This window comes from Homo sapiens, chromosome 12 (genome assembly GCF_000001405.40).
Source record: "Homo sapiens chromosome 12, GRCh38.p14 Primary Assembly".
Taxonomy (NCBI): domain Eukaryota; kingdom Metazoa; phylum Chordata; class Mammalia; order Primates; family Hominidae; genus Homo; species Homo sapiens.
In genome coordinates, this window is record NC_000012.12 from 99719492 (window position 1) to 99737683 (window position 18192).

At 39.4% G+C, this 18192-nt stretch overlaps 1 protein-coding gene across 20 annotated transcripts in view, besides 1 other annotated feature; it reads right to left on the reverse strand.

Moving 5' to 3' along the window:
* The window catches only part of ANKS1B (ankyrin repeat and sterile alpha motif domain containing 1B), a 1250151-nt gene that overhangs the window by 984706 nt on the left and 247253 nt on the right, over positions 1-18192 (reverse strand). The window lies entirely within an intron of this gene.
* Positions 3748-4300: an enhancer, noted in NCBI's record as "NANOG-H3K4me1 hESC enhancer chr12:100117017-100117569 (GRCh37/hg19 assembly coordinates)". NCBI's record gives its function as "activates a minimal SCP1, AML or CMV promoter by ChIP-STARR-seq in naive H9 embryonic stem cells {active_cell/tissue: H9 hESC(naive)}" and the evidence as "EXISTENCE:reporter gene assay evidence [ECO:0000049][PMID:30033119]".

The following is an 18192-nucleotide window of genomic DNA, read 5'->3' on the forward strand; positions in this document are numbered from 1 at the left end:
CCAGGCCTAATCGCCACTCACCAGCAAAGGCAGGCTATGCTATAGTATCTTCCACATCTATTATTGAGGCTACTGCTCTGCCCCCCTCCACTACCTCTCAGCAAGCCGAACTCATTGCCTTAAGCCCTCACTCTTGCAAAAGCACTAAAAGTCAATATTTATACTGACTCTAAATATGCCTTCCATATTCTGCACCACCATGCGAGAGGTTTCCTCACTACACAAGGGTCCTCTATCATTAATGCCTCTTTAATAAAAACGCTTCTCAAAGCTGCTTTACTTCCAAAGGAAGCTAGAGTCATTCACTGCAAAGGCCATCAAAGGGCATCAGATCCCATCGCTCAGGACAATGCTCATACTGATAAGATAGCTAAAAAAGCAGCTAGCATTCCAACTTATACCCCTCACTTTCAGTTTTTCTCCTTCTCATCTGGCCACTCCCACCTACTCCCCCGCTGAAACTTCCACTTATCAATCTCTTCCCACACAAGGCAAATGGTTCTTAGACCAAGGAACATATCTCCTTCCAGCCTCACAGGCCCATTCTATTCTGTCGTCATTTCATAACCTCTTCCATGTAGGTTACAAGCCACTAGCCCATCTCTTAGAACCTCTCATTTCCTTTCCATCATAGAAATCTATCCTCAAGGAAAGCACTTCTCAGTGTTCTATCTGCTATTCTACTACCCTTCAGGGATTGTTCAGGCCTCCTCCCTTTCCCATACATCAAGCTCGGGGATTTGCCCCTGCCCAGGACTGGCAAATTGACTTTACTCACATGCCCCGAGTCAGAAAACTAAAATATCTCTTAGTCTGTGTAGACACTTTCACTGGATGGGTAGAGGCCTTTCCTACGGGGTCTAAGAAGGCCACCGCAGTCATTTCTTTCCTTCTGTCAGACATAATTCCTCAGTTTAGCCTTCCCACCTCTATACAGTCCAATAGCAGACCAGCCTTTATTAGTCAAATCAGCCAAGCAGTTTTTCAGGCTCTTGGTATTCAGTTAAACCTTTATTTCCCTTACAGTCCTCAGTCTTCAGGAAAGGTAGAACGGACTAATGGTCTTTTAAAAACACACCTCACCAATCTCAGCCACCAACTTAAAAAGGACTGGACAATACTTTTACCTCTTTCTTTTCTCAGAATTCAGGCCTATCCTCGGAATGCTGCAAGGTACAGCCCATTGGAGCTCCTGTATGGACGCTCCTTTTTATTAGGCCCCAGTCTCATTCCAGACACCAGACCAACTTGGACTGTGCCCCAAAAAACTTGTCACCCCTACTATCTTCTGTCTAGTCATACTCCTATTCACCGTTCTCAACTACTCATACATGCCCTGCTCTTGTTTACACTGCCGGTTTACACTGTTTCTCCAAGTCATCACAGCCAATATCTCCTGGTGCTATCCCAAACTGCCACTCTTAACTCTTAAAGTAAATAAATAATCTTTGCTGGCAGGGCTATGCTGAACCTCCTTAGGCACTCTCTAATTAGATGTCCTGGGTCCTCCCAATTCTTAGACCTTTAATACCTGCTTTTCTCTTTCTCTTATTCCGTTCAGTTTTTCAATTCATACAAAACTATATCCAGGCCATCACCAATAATTCTAAATGACAAATGTTTCTTCTAACAACCCCACAATATCACCCCTTACCACAAAATCTTCCTTCAGCTTAATATCTCCCACTCTAGGTTCCCACGCCGCCCCTAATCCCACTCGAAGCAGCCCTGAGAAACATCGCCCGTTATCTCTCCATACCACCCCCCAAAATTTTCGTCGTCCCAACACTTTATCACTATTTCATTTTATTTTTCTTAATATAAGAAGACAGGAACGTCAGGCCTCTGAGCCCAAGCTAAGCCATCATATCCCCTGTGACCTGCACATACACATCCAGATGGCCGGTTCCTGCCTTAACTGATGACATTCTACCACAAAAGAAGTGAAAATGGCCTGTTCCTGCCTTAACTGATGACATTGTCTTGTGAAATTCCTTCTCCTGGCTCATCCTGCCTCAAAAGCTCCCCTACTGAGCACCTTGTGACCTCCCACTCCTGCCTGCCAGAGAACAACCCCCCTTTGACTGTAATTTTCCTTTACCTATCCAAATCTTATAAAACGGCCCCACCCCTATCTCCCTTCGCTGACTCTCTTTTCGGACTCAGCCTGCCTGCACCCAGGTGATTAAAAGCTTTATTGCTCACACAAAGCCTGTTTGGTGGTCTCTTCACACTGATGCGCATGAAACTTGGTGAAGTATGTATGTCAAAAGCTGAGATAGGCTAAAACCTAGGCCTCATGTGCCAAACAGTTAGTAAATGCATTATGTAAGAAATACATTTCAAGTTGTGAATGCAAAGGAAAAGTTCTTGAAGGAAATTAAAAGTGCGACTCCAGTGGACACATAAATGATAAGAAAGGGAAACAGCCTGAATGCTGATATGGCAAAAGTTTTAGTGCTCTGGAAAGATCAAACCAGCCACAACATTTACTTAAGCCAAATGCTAATCCAGAACAAGGCCCTAACTCTCTTCAATTCTATGAAGGCTGAGAGAGGCAAAGAAACTGCAGAAGAAAATTTTGAAGCTAGCAGGGGTTCATGAGGTTTAAGGAAAGAAGCCATTTCCATGACACAAAAGTGCAAGAAGCAGCAAGTGCTGATGGAGAAGCTGTAGCAAGTTATCCAGAAGATCCAGCTAAATTGATAAAGGTGACTACACTAAACAACAGATTCTCAATGTAGATGAAACAGCCTTCTATTGGAAGAAGATTCCATTTAGGACTCTCATAACCAGAGAGGAGAAGTCAACGTCTGGCTTCAAAGCTTCAAAGAACAGGCTCACTGTTTTGTTAGGTTGTAATGCAGCTGGTAACTTTAAGTTGAAGCCAATGCTCATTTGCCATTCTGAAAACACTAAAGCTTTTAAGAACGATGTTAAATGTACTCTGCCTGTGCTCTATAATAAAATAATAAAGCCTGGATGACAGTACATTTGTTTACAGCACAGTTTACTGACCATTTTAAGCCCACTGTTGAGACCTACTGCTTAAAAAAAGATTCCTTTCAAATTATTATTGCTCATCGACAATGCACCTAATTACCCAAGAGCTCTGACTGGAGGTGTACAAGGAGACTAATGTTTTCATGGTTGGTAACACAACATCCATTCTGCAGCCAATGGATCAAGCAGTAATTTTGACTTTCAAGTCTTATGTAAGAAATACAGGGTGGGACCAAGATGGCCAACTAGCCAACAAGAAGCAGCCACCGTCAGAGGCTCCCATCAAAAAGAACCATAATAGCATGTGAATCCTGCACTGGCAACTGAGGTATCCAGGTTCTCTCATCAGAACTGACTAGGCAGCTGGTGTGACCTACAGAGAGAAAGGAAGCGCAGTGGTGCAGGGGGCCCACCTGAGAGCCACACAGGGCAGGTGGGTCCCCACCCCCCCGCCAAGGGAGGTGATGAGTGAGTGTGCCATCCAGCCTGGGAAACCATGCTTTTTCCACAGACTGTGCAACCTCCTGATCAGAAGATCTCACTCATGAAATCACAACACCAGGGCCTAGGATCCCAACCACAGAGCCCTGCAGATTCTCAAAAGCCTCTCAGCTAGACTCTGCTTAAGCCTGCTGAGTTCCCGGTGGGGAGGGGCGACTAGCACCACAGTTGCGGCTGCCTGTTGTTTAAGCCATTTGAGCTCTTTGGGGGAGGGGCAGCAGCCAGCACTGGGACTGATAGCTGCCTAACACACTAAGCTCCCTGGGCAGGGGAAGGGTGGCAGCCATCTCTATAGCTCCAGGCTACACTTTTCCCCTGCTGGAGCCAGGAAGGCTTGGTTCCGAGAGGGGTCCCCCGCAGCACAACACACCGGCTGTGGCAGACTGTGGCCAGAGTGCCTCTTCAGGCCTGACACTGACCCATCCCTCCTCACTGGGAGGGGCCTCCCTGCAGGAACTCCAACTCCAGGCAGGGGCTCAGGCACAAAGCTCTGATCTCCCTGGCCGGAGCCACTAGGGGTAGGGGTGACCACAGTCTCTGAGGACCAGCAGACTTAGCCTTTCCTCCTGCTAGTTCTGAGAAATCTGGGCAGCCCAGATGAGTGGGTTTCCCCTCAGCAAAGCACTCCCCCTCCACCAAGGGATAGTCAAAGAGCTTCATTAAACGGGTCCTGCTCCCTGTACCACCCAACTAGGTGAGACCATCAAACAGGGGTTGTCAGACATCCTATACAGGAGTGATCATACTGGCATCAGATCGGTGCTCCTCGAGGTCAGAGTTCCCAGAGGAAGGAGGAAGCACCCATCTTTGCTGTTTTCCAGCCTCCTTGAGTGACTGGCTCCAGGCACAGGAGCGAGCCAGATGAATAGTGCCTGAAGTGAATGCCCAGCAAACCACAACAGCCCTACAGAAGAGGGGCCTGACCATTGAAAGAAAAACAAACAGAAAGCAACAACAACAGCATCAGCAAAAAGTGTCTCCCCAAAAAAACCCATCAAGGATAGGCAGCCTCAAATATCAAAACTAGACAAATTCATGAAGATGAGAAAGGATCAACAAAAAAAAAAACACTGAAAGCCCAAAAGGCCAGAGTGCCTCTTCTCCTCCAAATGATTGCAATGCCGCTCCAGCAAGGGTGCAGAACTGGGCAGAGGATGAGATGGACAAATTGACAGAAGTAGGCTTCAGAAGGTGGGTAATATCAAATTCTGCTAGCTAAAGGATCATGTTCTAACCCAATGCAAAGAAGCTAAGAACCTTGAAAAAAGGTTACAGGAGCTGCTAACTAGAATAACCAGTTTAGAGAGGAACATAAATAACCTGATGGAGCTGAAAAACACAGCGGAAGAACTTCGTGAAGCATACAGAAGTATCAATAGCCGAATCAACCAAGAGGAAGAAAGTATATCTGAGTTTGAAGACCACCTTGCTGAAATAAGGCATGCAGACAAGATTAGAGGAAAAAGAATGAAAAGGAATGAACAAAACCTCCAAGAAATATAGGATTATGTAAAAAGACCGAACCTACAATTGACTGGAGTACCTGAAACAGACAGAGAAAATTGAACCAAGCTGCAAAACACACTTCAGGATGTTATCTAGGAGAATGTTGCCAACCTAGCAAGATAGGCCAACATTAAAATTCAGGAAATACAGTGAACACCACTAAGATACTCCATGAGACAATCAACCCCAAGACACATAATCATTAGATTCTCCAAGGTCGAAAGGAAGGAAAAAAATGTTAAGGGCAGCCAGAGAGAAAGACCAGGTCACCCACAAAGGGAAGCCCATCAGACTAACAGCAGACCTCTCAGCAGAAACGGTACAAGCCAGAAGAGAGTGAGGGCCAATATTCAACAGTCTTAGAAAAATTATTTTCAACTCAGAATTTCATATCCAGCCAAACTAAGCTTCATAAGCAAAGAAGAAATAAAATCCTTTCCAGACAAGCAAATACTGAGGGATTTCATCACCACCATGCCTGCCTTACAAGAGCCCCTGAGGGAAGCACTAAATATGAAAAGGAACAACTGGTACCAGCCATTGCAAAGACACATCAAAATATAAAGACCAATGACACTATGAAGAAACTGCATCAACTAGTGTGCAAAATACCAAGGTAGTATCATGATGACAGGATCAAAATCACATATAACAATATTAACCTTAAATGTAAATGGGCTAAATGCCCCAGTTAAAAGACACAGACTGGCAAATTGGATAAAGAGTCAAGACCCATCAGTGTGCTGTATTTAGGAGACCCAACTCATGGTCAAAGACATACATAGGCTCAAAATGAAGAGATGGAGGCAAGTTTACCAAGCAAATGAAAAGCAAAAAGAAAGCAGGGGTTGCAATCCTAGTCTCTGACAAAACAGACTTTAAACCAACAAAGATAAAAAAAGACAAGGGCATTACATAATGGTAAAGGGATCAATTCAACAAGAAGAGCTAACTATCCTAAATATGTATGCACCCAATACAGGAGCACCCAAATTCATAAAACAAGTTCTTAGAGACCTACAAAGAGACTTAGACTCCCACACAATAATAAAAAGGGACTTCTAACACCCTACTGTCAATATTGGACACATCAATGAGACAGAAAATTAACAAGGATATTCAGGACTTAAACTCAGCTCTGGATCAAGTGGACCTAAAAGAGATCTACAGAACCCTCCACACCAAATCAACAGAATATACATTCTTCTCAGTGCATGGCATTTATTCTCAAATTGACCACAAAATTGGAAGTAAAACACTTCTCAGTAAATGCAAAATAACTGAAATCATAACAGCCTCTCAGACCACAGTGCAATCAAATTAGAACTCAGGATTAAGAAACTCACTCAAAACCACACAATTACATGGAAATTGAACAACCTGCTCCTGAAGGACTCCTGGGTAAATAATGAAATTAAGGCAGAAATCAAGTTATTTGAAACCAATAAGAACAAAGAGACAATGTGCCAGAATCTCTGGGACACAGCTAAAGCAGTGTTAAGAGGGTAGCACTAAATCCCCATATCAGAAAGCTAGAAAGATCTCAAATCGACACCCTAACCTCACAATTAAAAGAGCTAGAGAAGCAAGAGCAAACTAATCCAAAAGCTAGCAGAAGACAAGAAATAACTAAGATCAGAGCAGAACTGAAGGGGATAGAGACACAAAAAACCCTCAAAAAAATCAATAAATCCAGCAGCTGGTTTTTTGAAAAAATTAACAAAATAGGTAGACTGCTAGCTAGACTAATAAAGAAGAAAAAAGAATCAAATAGACACAATAAAAAACGATAAAGGGGATATTACCACTTATCCCACAGAAATACAAACTACCATCAGAGAATACTATAAACACCTCTATGCAAATAAACTAGAAAATCTAGAAGAAATGGATAAATTCCTGGACACATACATCATCCCAAAACTAAACCAGGAAGAAGTCGAATCCATAAATAGACCAATAACAAGTTCTGAAATTGAGGCAGTAATTAATAGTCTACCAACCAAGAAAAGCCCAGGACCAGAAGGAATCACAGCCAAATTCTACCAGCCAAATTCTACAAAGAGGAGCTGGTGCCATTCCTTCTGAATATGATCCAAACAGTGAAAAGCAGGTACTCTTCCCTAACTAATTTTATGAGGCCATCATCATCCTGATACCAAAACTGGGCAGAGACACAACAAAAAAAAGAAAATTTCAGGCCAATATCCCTGATGAATATTGATGCAAAAATCCTCAATAAAATACTGGCAAACCGAATCCAGCAGCACATTGGAAAACTTATCCACCACAATCAAGTTGACTTCATCCCTGGGATGCAAGGCTAGTTCAACATACACAAATCAATACATGTACTCCATCACACAGACAGAACCAATGACAATAACCACACGATTATCTCAATAGATGCAGAAAAGGCCTTTGATAAAATTCAACATGTCTTCATATTAAAAACTCTCAATAAACTAGATATTGATGGAACATATCTCAAAATAATCAGAGCTATTTATGACAAACCCACAGCCAATATCATATTGAATGGGCAAAAGCTGGAAGCATTCCCTTTGAAAACTGGTGCAAGACAAGGATGCCCTCACTCACCACTCCCTTTCAACATAATATTGGAAATTCTGGCCAGGGCAATCAGGCAAGAGAAAGAAGTAAAGCATATTCGAATAGAAAGAGAGGAAGTCATATTGTCCCTTTTTGCAGATGACATGATTCTACATTTAGAAAACCCAGCATCTCAGCCCCAAAACTCCTTAAACTGATAAGCAACTTTGGCAAAGTCTCAAGATACAAAATCAATGTGCAAAAATCACAAGCATTCCTATACACCAACAATAGACAAGCAGAGGACCAAATCACAAATGAACTCCCATTCACAATTGCTATAAAGAGAATAAAATACCTAGGAATACAGCTAACAAGGGATGTGAAGGACCTCTTCAAGGAGAACTACAAACCACTGCTCAAGGAAATCAGAGAGGACACAAACAAATGGAAAAACATTCCATCCTCATGGATAGGAAAAATCAATGTTGTGAAAATGGCCATTCTGCCCAAAGTAATTTATAGATTCAATGCTATTCCCATCAAGCTACCATTGACAATCTTCACAGAATTAGAAAAAACTATTTTAAATTTCATATGGAACCAAACAAGAGCCCATATAGCCAGGACAATCCTAATCAAAAAGAACAAAGCAGGAGGCATCACACTACCTGACTTCAAACTATACTACAAGGCTACAGTAACCAAAACAGCATGGTACTGGTACCAAAACAGACATATAGACCAGTGGAACAGAACGGAGAACTCAGAAATAACACCACACATCTACAACCATCTGATCTTTGACAAACCTGACAAAAACAAACAATAGGAAAAGAATTTCCTATTCAATAAAAGGTGCTGGGAAAACTGGCTAGCCATATGCAGAAAACTGAAACTGGACCCCTTCCTTATACCTTTTACAGAAATTAACTCATTAAAGACTTAAATGTAAAACCCAAAACCATAAAAACCCTAGACGAAAACTTAGGCAATACCATTCAGGACATAGGCATGGGCAAAGACTTCATGATGAAAACACCAAAAGCAATTCCAACAAAAGCCAAAATTGACAAATGAGATCTAATTAAAGAGCTTCTGCACAGCAAAAGAAACTATCATCAGAGTGAACAGGCAACCTACAGAATGGGAGAAAGTTTTTGCCATCTACCCATTTGACAAAGGTCTAATATCCAGAATCTACAAGGAACTTAAACAAATTTACAAGAAAAAAAAATCCCCATCAAAAAGCGGGCAAAGGATATGAACAGACACTTCTCAAAAGAAAACATTTATGTGGCCAATGAACACATGAAAAAAAGCTCAACATCACTGATCATTAGAGAAATGCAAATCGAAACTACAGTGAGATACTGTCTCATGCCAGTCAGAATGGTAATTATTAAAAAGTCAAGAAACAATAGATGCTTGGGAGGCTGTGGAGAAATAGGAACACTTTTACACTGTTGGTGGGAATGTAAATTAGTCCAACCATTGTGGACGACAGTATGGCAATTCGTCAAGGATCTAGAACCAGAAATACCATTTGACCCAGCAACCCCATTACTGGGTATATATCCAAAGAATTGTTCCATTATAAAGACACATGCACACATATTATCACTGCAGCACTATTTACAACAGCAAAGACATGGAACCAACCCAAATGCCCATCAATGATAGACTGGATAAAGAAAATGCGGTAAATATACACGATGGAATACTATGCAACCATAAAAAGAAATGAGACCTTGTCCTTTGCAGGGACTTGGATGAAGCTGGAAGCCATCCTAACTAACTAACTAACAGGAACAGAAAACTAACACAGGAAGAGAAAACCAAACACCGCATGTTTTCACTCATAAGTGGGAGCTAAACAATGAGAACACATTTAGCGGACAACAGCATAGTGTAAATACAACTTTTATATGCACTTGGCAATCAAAAAATTCATGTGAGTTGCTCTACTGCAGTATTCGCTTTATTGCAGTGGTCTATAACTGAATCTGTAGTACCTCCAAGATATGCCTGTGTAAAGCAACATATTCACAGTTCTGTGTATTACAATATGAACATCTCTGACATGAAAATATGCATAAATTTCTCACATTTTATAAGAAGTTTTTATTCATCTTTCTATTTGAAAGACGCTTTTTCCGAGTATAAAATTCTAGATCAACAGCTAATTTTTGGCACCTTAAAGACAGTCCATTGTCTTTCTGGGTCACAAAGCTAGTGGTAAGAAGTCCACCATCACCCTCATCTTTGTTCCTCTGTAAGTAATGAAGTTTTGGAGTAATGAAGTAGTTTGTAAGTAATGAAGTCTTGAAGTTTGCCATTTTTTTTCTTCTGGCAATTTAAATTTTATAGTTGAGGTTCTTAGAGTGAACTTTTCATTTCAGTAATTGTACTTTTGAACTCCAGAATTTCTATTTGATTTTTTTAATCATTTCTCTCTATTGATATTCTCTATTTGATGCAAAATTGTTGTCCTACCTTCCTTTATTTAATCATAGTTTCCTTTAGTTCTTTGAACATATCTACAATGGCTACTTTCTAGTCATTTTCTGTTAGTCTGATTTCTGACCACTGTCTGCCTACTGTACTTACAAAGTATGGGTCATATTTTCTTGTTTCTTTTCACGCCTTGTAAATTTCTGTTGGTAACTGGACATTTTAGGTAATACATCATGGCAACTCTGGGTAAACCCACCCCTGCTCTAAGCTTGTTATTATTTGTTTTTTGTTTAATGACTAGCTGGACTATTTTAGTGATGTTCACTGTCATCCTCATCTTTGATTCTCTGTAAGTAATGAGTATTTTTCCCTTTTTGCATATAAGTTTGTCACTGTATCACTAGATTTCAGTAAACTGAATATGACACAAATATGACTATTTTCCACCTGCAGTGTTAAATCTTTGGTGCTGCTCCTCAAGGAGTTGTAGCTTTGTGCATGTATGCTCACATATGGTCACTAGTATGACAGTGGTTTTGGCAGGACTCTTTTTGTCACTTTCTCTGACCACGTCCAACTGTTAAGCTATACTAAGTGCCAGCTGATTTATGTACTGCTTTCAACAATACTGTGGTGCTTAAATTGTTCTATAGACTAATCCATCAAATTCGGGTTCCTTTGAAGGAGTAGTTCCTACATTGTTTGAGATTTGCTCTGTTGAGGAGCTCTGACCACAGATGGGCTCCCACAAGCTGTCTCTTTCCAAGGGTCTCTGCTTTTCCCTCCAGGCAAAATCTCAAGTCAAGTCAAGTTGAGTCAAGGCTCTGGAACTAGGGTGGCAGACAATTGCACACTCTCTCTAAATGACACCCTCACTTTAAGAGCTGAGTGCTCATTGGGGGCCAGAGAGGGTAGAAGATGAACAGTAGCCTCCAACTTTTTTGGCTAGTTTCATCCAGAGTACAACACTCACTTTACAGACTAAGGCAAGGACAATCAGAACCCCTATATCTCAGCAGTGCCAAACCCAAGGTAAAGACTGCATCTCATGAGTGGGGAGCTGTGCAGAAGAGAACTCTACTTCAGAACTTAGCCTCATCAATAGGTAGCTGTGGCAAGATGAGAAAAGCTGATATCCTTCCATAGGATTACTCTCTGTCTGGGAGCTGAGAATAGAGAGAGCCTTGTGTTTTGGGCTGCACTAGTTTGGAATAAAGTTTCCATCTCACTAAGCTGGGAAAGGGGATAGGAGGGAAAGGGTCTCAGTTCCCCATAGAGTCTTGCTGTTCTTACCACAATACAGATTTTCTGGAATAAACGTTTCTTCATCTACTTATTATTTAAATGTCCGTAAGACTATTTCCAGAGACATTAAATGGTATGTTGTTGGGTATTTTTGTTTTTGTTTTTGTTTTGTTTCTTTTGTTTGTTTGCTTGTTTTTGAGATAGAGTTTCCCTCTTTTTGCCTAGGCTGGAGTGCAATGTTGTTATCTCCGCTCACTGCAACCTCCACCTCCCAGGCTCAAGTGATTCTCCTGCCTCAGCCTCCCTCCCAAATAGCTGGGATTACAGGAATGCACCACCACACCTGGCTAATTTTGTTTTATGTTTATTTGTTTGTTTTTGAGAAAATGTCTCACTCTGTCACCCAGACTGGAGTGCAGTGGCACGATCTCGGCTCACCGCAACCTCCGCCTCCCAGGCTCAAGCGATTCTCCTGCCTCAGCCTTCCAAGTAGCTGGGATTAGAAGCGCACGCCACCACACCCAGATAATTTTTGTATTTTTAGTAGAGACGGGGTTTCACCACGTTGGCCAGGCTTGTCTCAAACTCCTGACCTCAAATGATCCACTCGCCTCTGCCTCCCAAAGCGCTGGGATTATAGGCGTGAACCACCGTGCCGTGTGTGTGTGTGTGTGTGTGTGTGTGTGTGTGTGTGTGTGTGTGTTTTAATTATCTTCACCAGTTTTTCTGGAGAAAGAGTCTGCTGAGCTTCTCATGCTATTATGCCAGAAGTCCCTCCCAGTCAATTAACAAAAGTGGCAAGGTAATTCAATGAGAATACTAGAGTCTTTTTCAAAAAATGGTTCTAGACAATGAATATGGGAAAAATGAAACTCAACCTTTCCTTATACCATATGCAAAATAATTTGGAATGAATTACAGCCTAAAATATGAGTCAAACTATTAAACTTCTAGAAGAAAACACAGGAAGAATTATTTGTAATTTTGGGATAGGCAAAGATATCTTAGCTAAGACACAAAAAACATGAATCATACACACATAAAAACTGTAAAACTGGGCTTCATCAAAAATTTTTAAAGTTTGTCCTTTAAAAGATACTGTTTGAAAAATTAAAAGGCAAGCCAAAGACTACGAGAATAACTTTAAAACCAGAAATCTGATGAAGAACTTGTTTTTGAGATATATAAAGAATTCGTTCAACTGAATAATAATATAGACAATCCAATTTAAAAATGGGCAAAAGTTTGAACAGATACTTCATCAAAGAAGATATGAAAAATGGCAGGTAAATAAATGATGTTCTATAATATTGGTAGTCTTTAAGGAAATGCAAATTAAAAACATAGGATTGCACTATTTACCTATTAAAATGGCTAAAACTTAAAAGACTGATGATATATATAGCAAGGGTACAGAGCAACTGTAATACTTATACATTACTGATTGGAACTTAATACGGTACAGCCACTTTGGAAAGCAGTTTGGCAATTTCTCCAAAAGTTAAACACAGACATAACATACAGTGCAGTAATCCCACTCTTACATGTTTACCCAAGAGAAATAAAAACACAAAGACTTACATGCAAAGATTCATAACTTTATTAATTACAGCCAAAATCTGGAAACAACCCAAAAGTCTATCAACAGGCAAATGGAAAAACATGTTGTAGTATAGCCTTACAATAAAATACTACTCAGCAACAAAAGGAATGAAAATATCAGTGAAAGAAGCCAGGCACAAAAGACTGTATGATTCTATTTGTATGAAATTCTAGAAAAAAAAATTATAGTGATAGAAAACAAATGTGTGGTTGCCTCAGGGTGGGACTGTTGTGTGGAAATTGGCCAAAGGGGCATGAGAGATCTTTGGAAGAATGATGAAAATATTTTATATCTTTATTATGGTTTTAGTTACATTACTATACATTTTTCAAACTCACCCAAATGAATCCTGAATGAATTTTATTGTATGTAAATTATATCTCTAATTTTTTTAAAAAGGTCAATAGAAGCAATGTATTAAATAGTTTAATAGTAGAGAAAGATCAGAAAGATCAAGACAGAGACACTGTCTTCATGTATATTAACGTACTGGATATCAGAGATTCTGAAATTATGTTAGATATCAAGTGAAAATATTCTTTTGTCAATCATTTTCATTCAGTTATAAGACCAACATTTATCTTAAGCCAGATTTGTGAAAATTCAATGTAAAAATAATTATCATACTATTTCACAAGAGTGTTATTGTTCCTTGCTCATTAAAAAAAAAAAGAGCAAGAGCTTGTTGAGATGTCATAGCTAACAAAGCTATAATAAACTGGGATTTTTTTCAGCAAATGTTTGCTTCCCTTTCCTCTTTGGGTCAGGGTATACTTTCCACTCCCACTGCCTTTATGCTTGGCCATGCGACTTGCCTTGGCCAATGGAATATGAGCATGCAGGATATCTGCAGAATTTTAAATGTGTTTGCCTGGCTTAGCTTGCACTTGAACTCCTATAATCAACATACAATTACAACATAGGCAACCAGTGCCTCGTTAGGCTGGATCAAAGCGTGAAGCTTAAGGGGCAAACCTGAACTTACCTCAAAGCCTGAAACTGAACTACAGCATAAAGCAGAGCCACTTATGAGTGAGAAAATTAAAAGCTTGCCATGATACGACAATAAATTTGGTGGAGGTTTGTTACAGCATTATTATGGCAAGAGTTGACTCATGCAAAGCTAACATTTGAGGAGAAATTACAATGTTCTAGGCACTGAGCTACAAACTTTACATATATTACCCATTTAATTATCACAATGACTCTGTAAGAGAAAACATTTTACATTGTCTTTCTAAAATACATGATGAAACTGAAGCACAAATAGGATAATTGCATTATCCAAAGTCTCAGAGCTAGTAAGTAACCAAGTAGGGTTTAAACCCAGGATGTTATAATTCTAATACTCACCCAATGCACTAATTATCAAGATCAAATTGAATTTTTAAATTCTATTCTTCTAGTTGGGGTGTTAAATAATGGTTAACACTCTTCAATCTCCATAAACCCTTTTCTTCTCTTCCACCTAACCTGCCCATCTTCATACCTGTATCTAAACAACCATCTGTTTACTGTACCCCAACTATTGGGTTGTCAGTAGCTAGAAAAGTACGCTGCCTTGACTCCATTACAAGGTTAGCTGATGGACTTTCCATATAGCTTTGCAAAATTGTGCTTATTCATGTTGATTCCATTTTGCATTCCCCACAATAGCTGTTCCAAACCTTAATCACCAAGATAAGCCCTAATTTCAATATCACTCCTCACTCTCAGAGGCTCTGCCTCCAATTTCTCAGCGAATGAATATTCCATGAGGCATTACATTTCTCAACTTTTTTCCTCTCTGCCTTATACCTATCTTTACCTCTCTTTACTCCTTGCTCTTGTGTCTCAAATGACTAATTCTACCCCCATATTCTTGTCTTTCTTCCTTCCCATACCTTGTTCTACAGATTTAACATCTTCCTTTTTTTCTCTCTACTAGAAAACCTACATACTCATTTCTCCCACATCTTTTTTTGCTCTTGTTGCCCAGGCTGGAGTGCAATGGCATGATCTCAGCTCACTGCAATCTCCACCTCCCGGGTTCAAGCAACTCTCCTGCCTCAGCACCCCCGAGTAGCTGGGATTACAGGCATGCGCCACCACGCATGGCTAATTTTTGTATTTTTAGTAGAAATGGGGTTTCATCATGTTGGTCAGGCTGGTCTCAAACACCTGATCTCAGGTGATCCGCCCGCCTCAGCCTCCCAAAGTGCTGGGATTACAAGCATGAGCCACCATGCCCAGCCCTATTTCTCCCACATCTTAAGCCAACTTTCCCACAAACCTGATGCCTCCACAAACCACCAACTCATCTTTCTCCCTGCTTTCACTGTTAAACTTCTTGACAAAGTAGGTGCTGTATCAGCTATCTTTACTTTTTCACCTCCAAGTCACTCCTTAATACATTACAGGATAAGTTCCCCTTCTGTGAACTTTACCAAAATTATTCTCTCAAAGGACACTGACAGTTTCCAAATTGCCCAAGTCAGTGATCTCCTCTCAGTTATCATCTTAACCAAGCCTTTCTCTAGTTTTAAATGACACTGTTGACTACATACATCAACTCCATCCCTCCAGACCCACCCTGCACCTCATTGTTCCTCCTTCTATGTTCTCTATTATGGTTACTGGTACCATTCAGTCACCCAGCCTAGAAGTCTTAAGGTCAATCTAGTCTTTTTCTCTCTCACATCATAGCCTCTTAACATCTCCAATATTATTTTTATTACTATTTTGCTCTTATAATCTCTCAGTTGGACTATTCAAAAAGTCTTCTAAGATGGAAGTTGATAGCAATAAACACCTACATCAAGAAACGTAGAAAGATTTCAAATAATCAGTCTAATGATGCACCTAAAGGAATTAGAAAAGCAAGAATAAGCCAAATCCCAAAGTTAGCAGAAGGAAAGAAGTAATAAAAATCAGAGCAGAAATAAATGAAATAGAGACCACAAAAATAAAAAAGATCAACGAAATGAAAAGTTGGCTTTTCAAAAAGATAAAATTGGTAAACCACTAGCTAGACTAACCAAGAAAAAAAGAGAAGTCCAAATAAATAAAATCAGAAATTAAGAAATGGAACATCACAACCAATACCTTAGAAATACAAAATATCATCAGAGACTATTATTAACAGCTATACATAAACAAACTGGAAAACCCAGAGGAAGTGGATAAATTCCTGGACATATACAGCCTACCAAGAATAAATCAGGAAGATACAGAAAACCTGAACAGACCAATAATAAGTAATGAAACTGAATCTGTAATAAAAAGCCTCCCAACAAGGAAAGGCTTGGACCAGATGGCTTCACTGCCAAATTCTACCAAACATATAAAGAAGAACTAGTACTAATTCTCCTCAAACTATTCCAAAAAAATAAAGAGGAGGGAGTTCTCCCTAACTCATTCTATGAGGCTAGAATTACCCTGATACTAAAGCCAGACAAGGACATATACCAAAAAAAAAAAAAAAAAGAATATCCCTGAAGGACATAGACACAAGAATCTTCAACAAAATACTAGCAAACTGAATATCATAGCACATCAAAAAGATAACACATACACCATGATCTAGTTGCATTTATCCCAGGTTGCAAGGATGTTTCAACATATGCATATGAATAAACATAATATATCACATCAACAGAATGAAGGACAAAAATGATATGATCATTGATAGATACAGAAAAAGCATTTGATAAAATTCAACAATGCTTCATGATAAAAATTCTCAACAAGCTAGCATAGAAGGTAGATATCTCAGCATAATAAAGGCCATATATGATAAACCCACAGCTAACATCATACTGATGGGGAAAGCATTTCCTCTAAGAACTAGAACAAGACAAAGATTTCCACTTTCAACACTCTATGCAACATAGTACTGGAAGTCCTAGCCAGAGCAATCGGGCAAGAGAATGAAAGAAAAGGCGTCCAAACTGGAAAAGAAGTAAAATTGTCCCTCTTTGCAGACAATTTGATCTTATATTTAGAAAAATCAAAAGAAACCACCACAAAAAAAAACTCTTCAAACTGATAAATTCAGTAAAGTTGCAGGACGCAAAATCAGCACACAAAAATCACCAGTATTTTTATACACCAAAAATGACATAGCTGAAAAAGAAACCAAGAAGGCAATCTTATTTACAGTAGCTACAAACCAAATAACTAAAAATAAATTTAACCAAGGAGGTGAAAGACATCTAGAAGGAAAACTACAAAACACTGATAAAAGAAACTGAAGAGGGCATAAACAAAGAGAAAGACATCCCATGTTCACAGATCAGAGGAATTTTATGGCAAAGAATTCAAAAGCACAGACAACAAAAACAAAAATAGACAAATGGAATTACATTAAACTAAAAAGCTTCTGCACAGCAAAGGAAACAATCAACAGAGTGGAGAGACAACCTATTGAATGAAAGAAAGTATTTGCAAACTATTCATCCAACAAGGGACTAATATCCAGCATATAAGGAACTCAAATGATTCAACAATAAAAAATCTAATAATCCCATTAAAAATAGGCAAAGGAAATGAATAGACACTTCTCACAAGAAGACATACAAATGGCCACCAGGGATATGGAAAATGTCAACATCACTAATCATCAGGGAAATGTATATTAAAACCACAATGAGATATCATCTTACCCCAGTTAGAATGACTATTATTAAAAAGACAACAGATGCTGGTGAGAATGCAGAGAAAGGGAACTTTTATATGCTGTTGATAAAAATGTAAATTAGTACAGCTGCTATGGAAAACAGTATGGAGATTTTTCAAAAAACTAAAAATAGAACTACCATGAGATTCAGCAATCACACTGCTGGTTATTTATCATCAAAGGAAGGAAAATCAGTATATCAAAGGGATACCTGCACCTTCGTGTTTATTACAGCACTATTCACAACAGCAAAGACATGGAATCAACTTAAGTGCCCATCAACGGATGAATGGATAAAGAAAATGTGGTATATATACACAGTGAAATACTTGTTGTCCATAAACAATGAGATCCTGTCATTTGCAGTAACATGGATGGAACTAGAAATCCTTATGTTAAGTGAAATAAGCTAGACATACAAAGACAAACATAATATCACATTTTCTCACTCATATGTAGGAGGTAGGAAATGCAAACTTAATCAAGTAATGGCTTTCCTCTCCTTCCCACTTCTTTTCCCCATGCTTAAAACCCTTCAGTGGGTATTCCATAATTATCCATTGCCTAGAGGATAAGGACAAAATGTATTATTGGGAATAAAAGGTGTTTTTTGGCCACCTCTACAGCATCAACTCCTGATCACCTCCCCATACCATGTCTTTTGCAT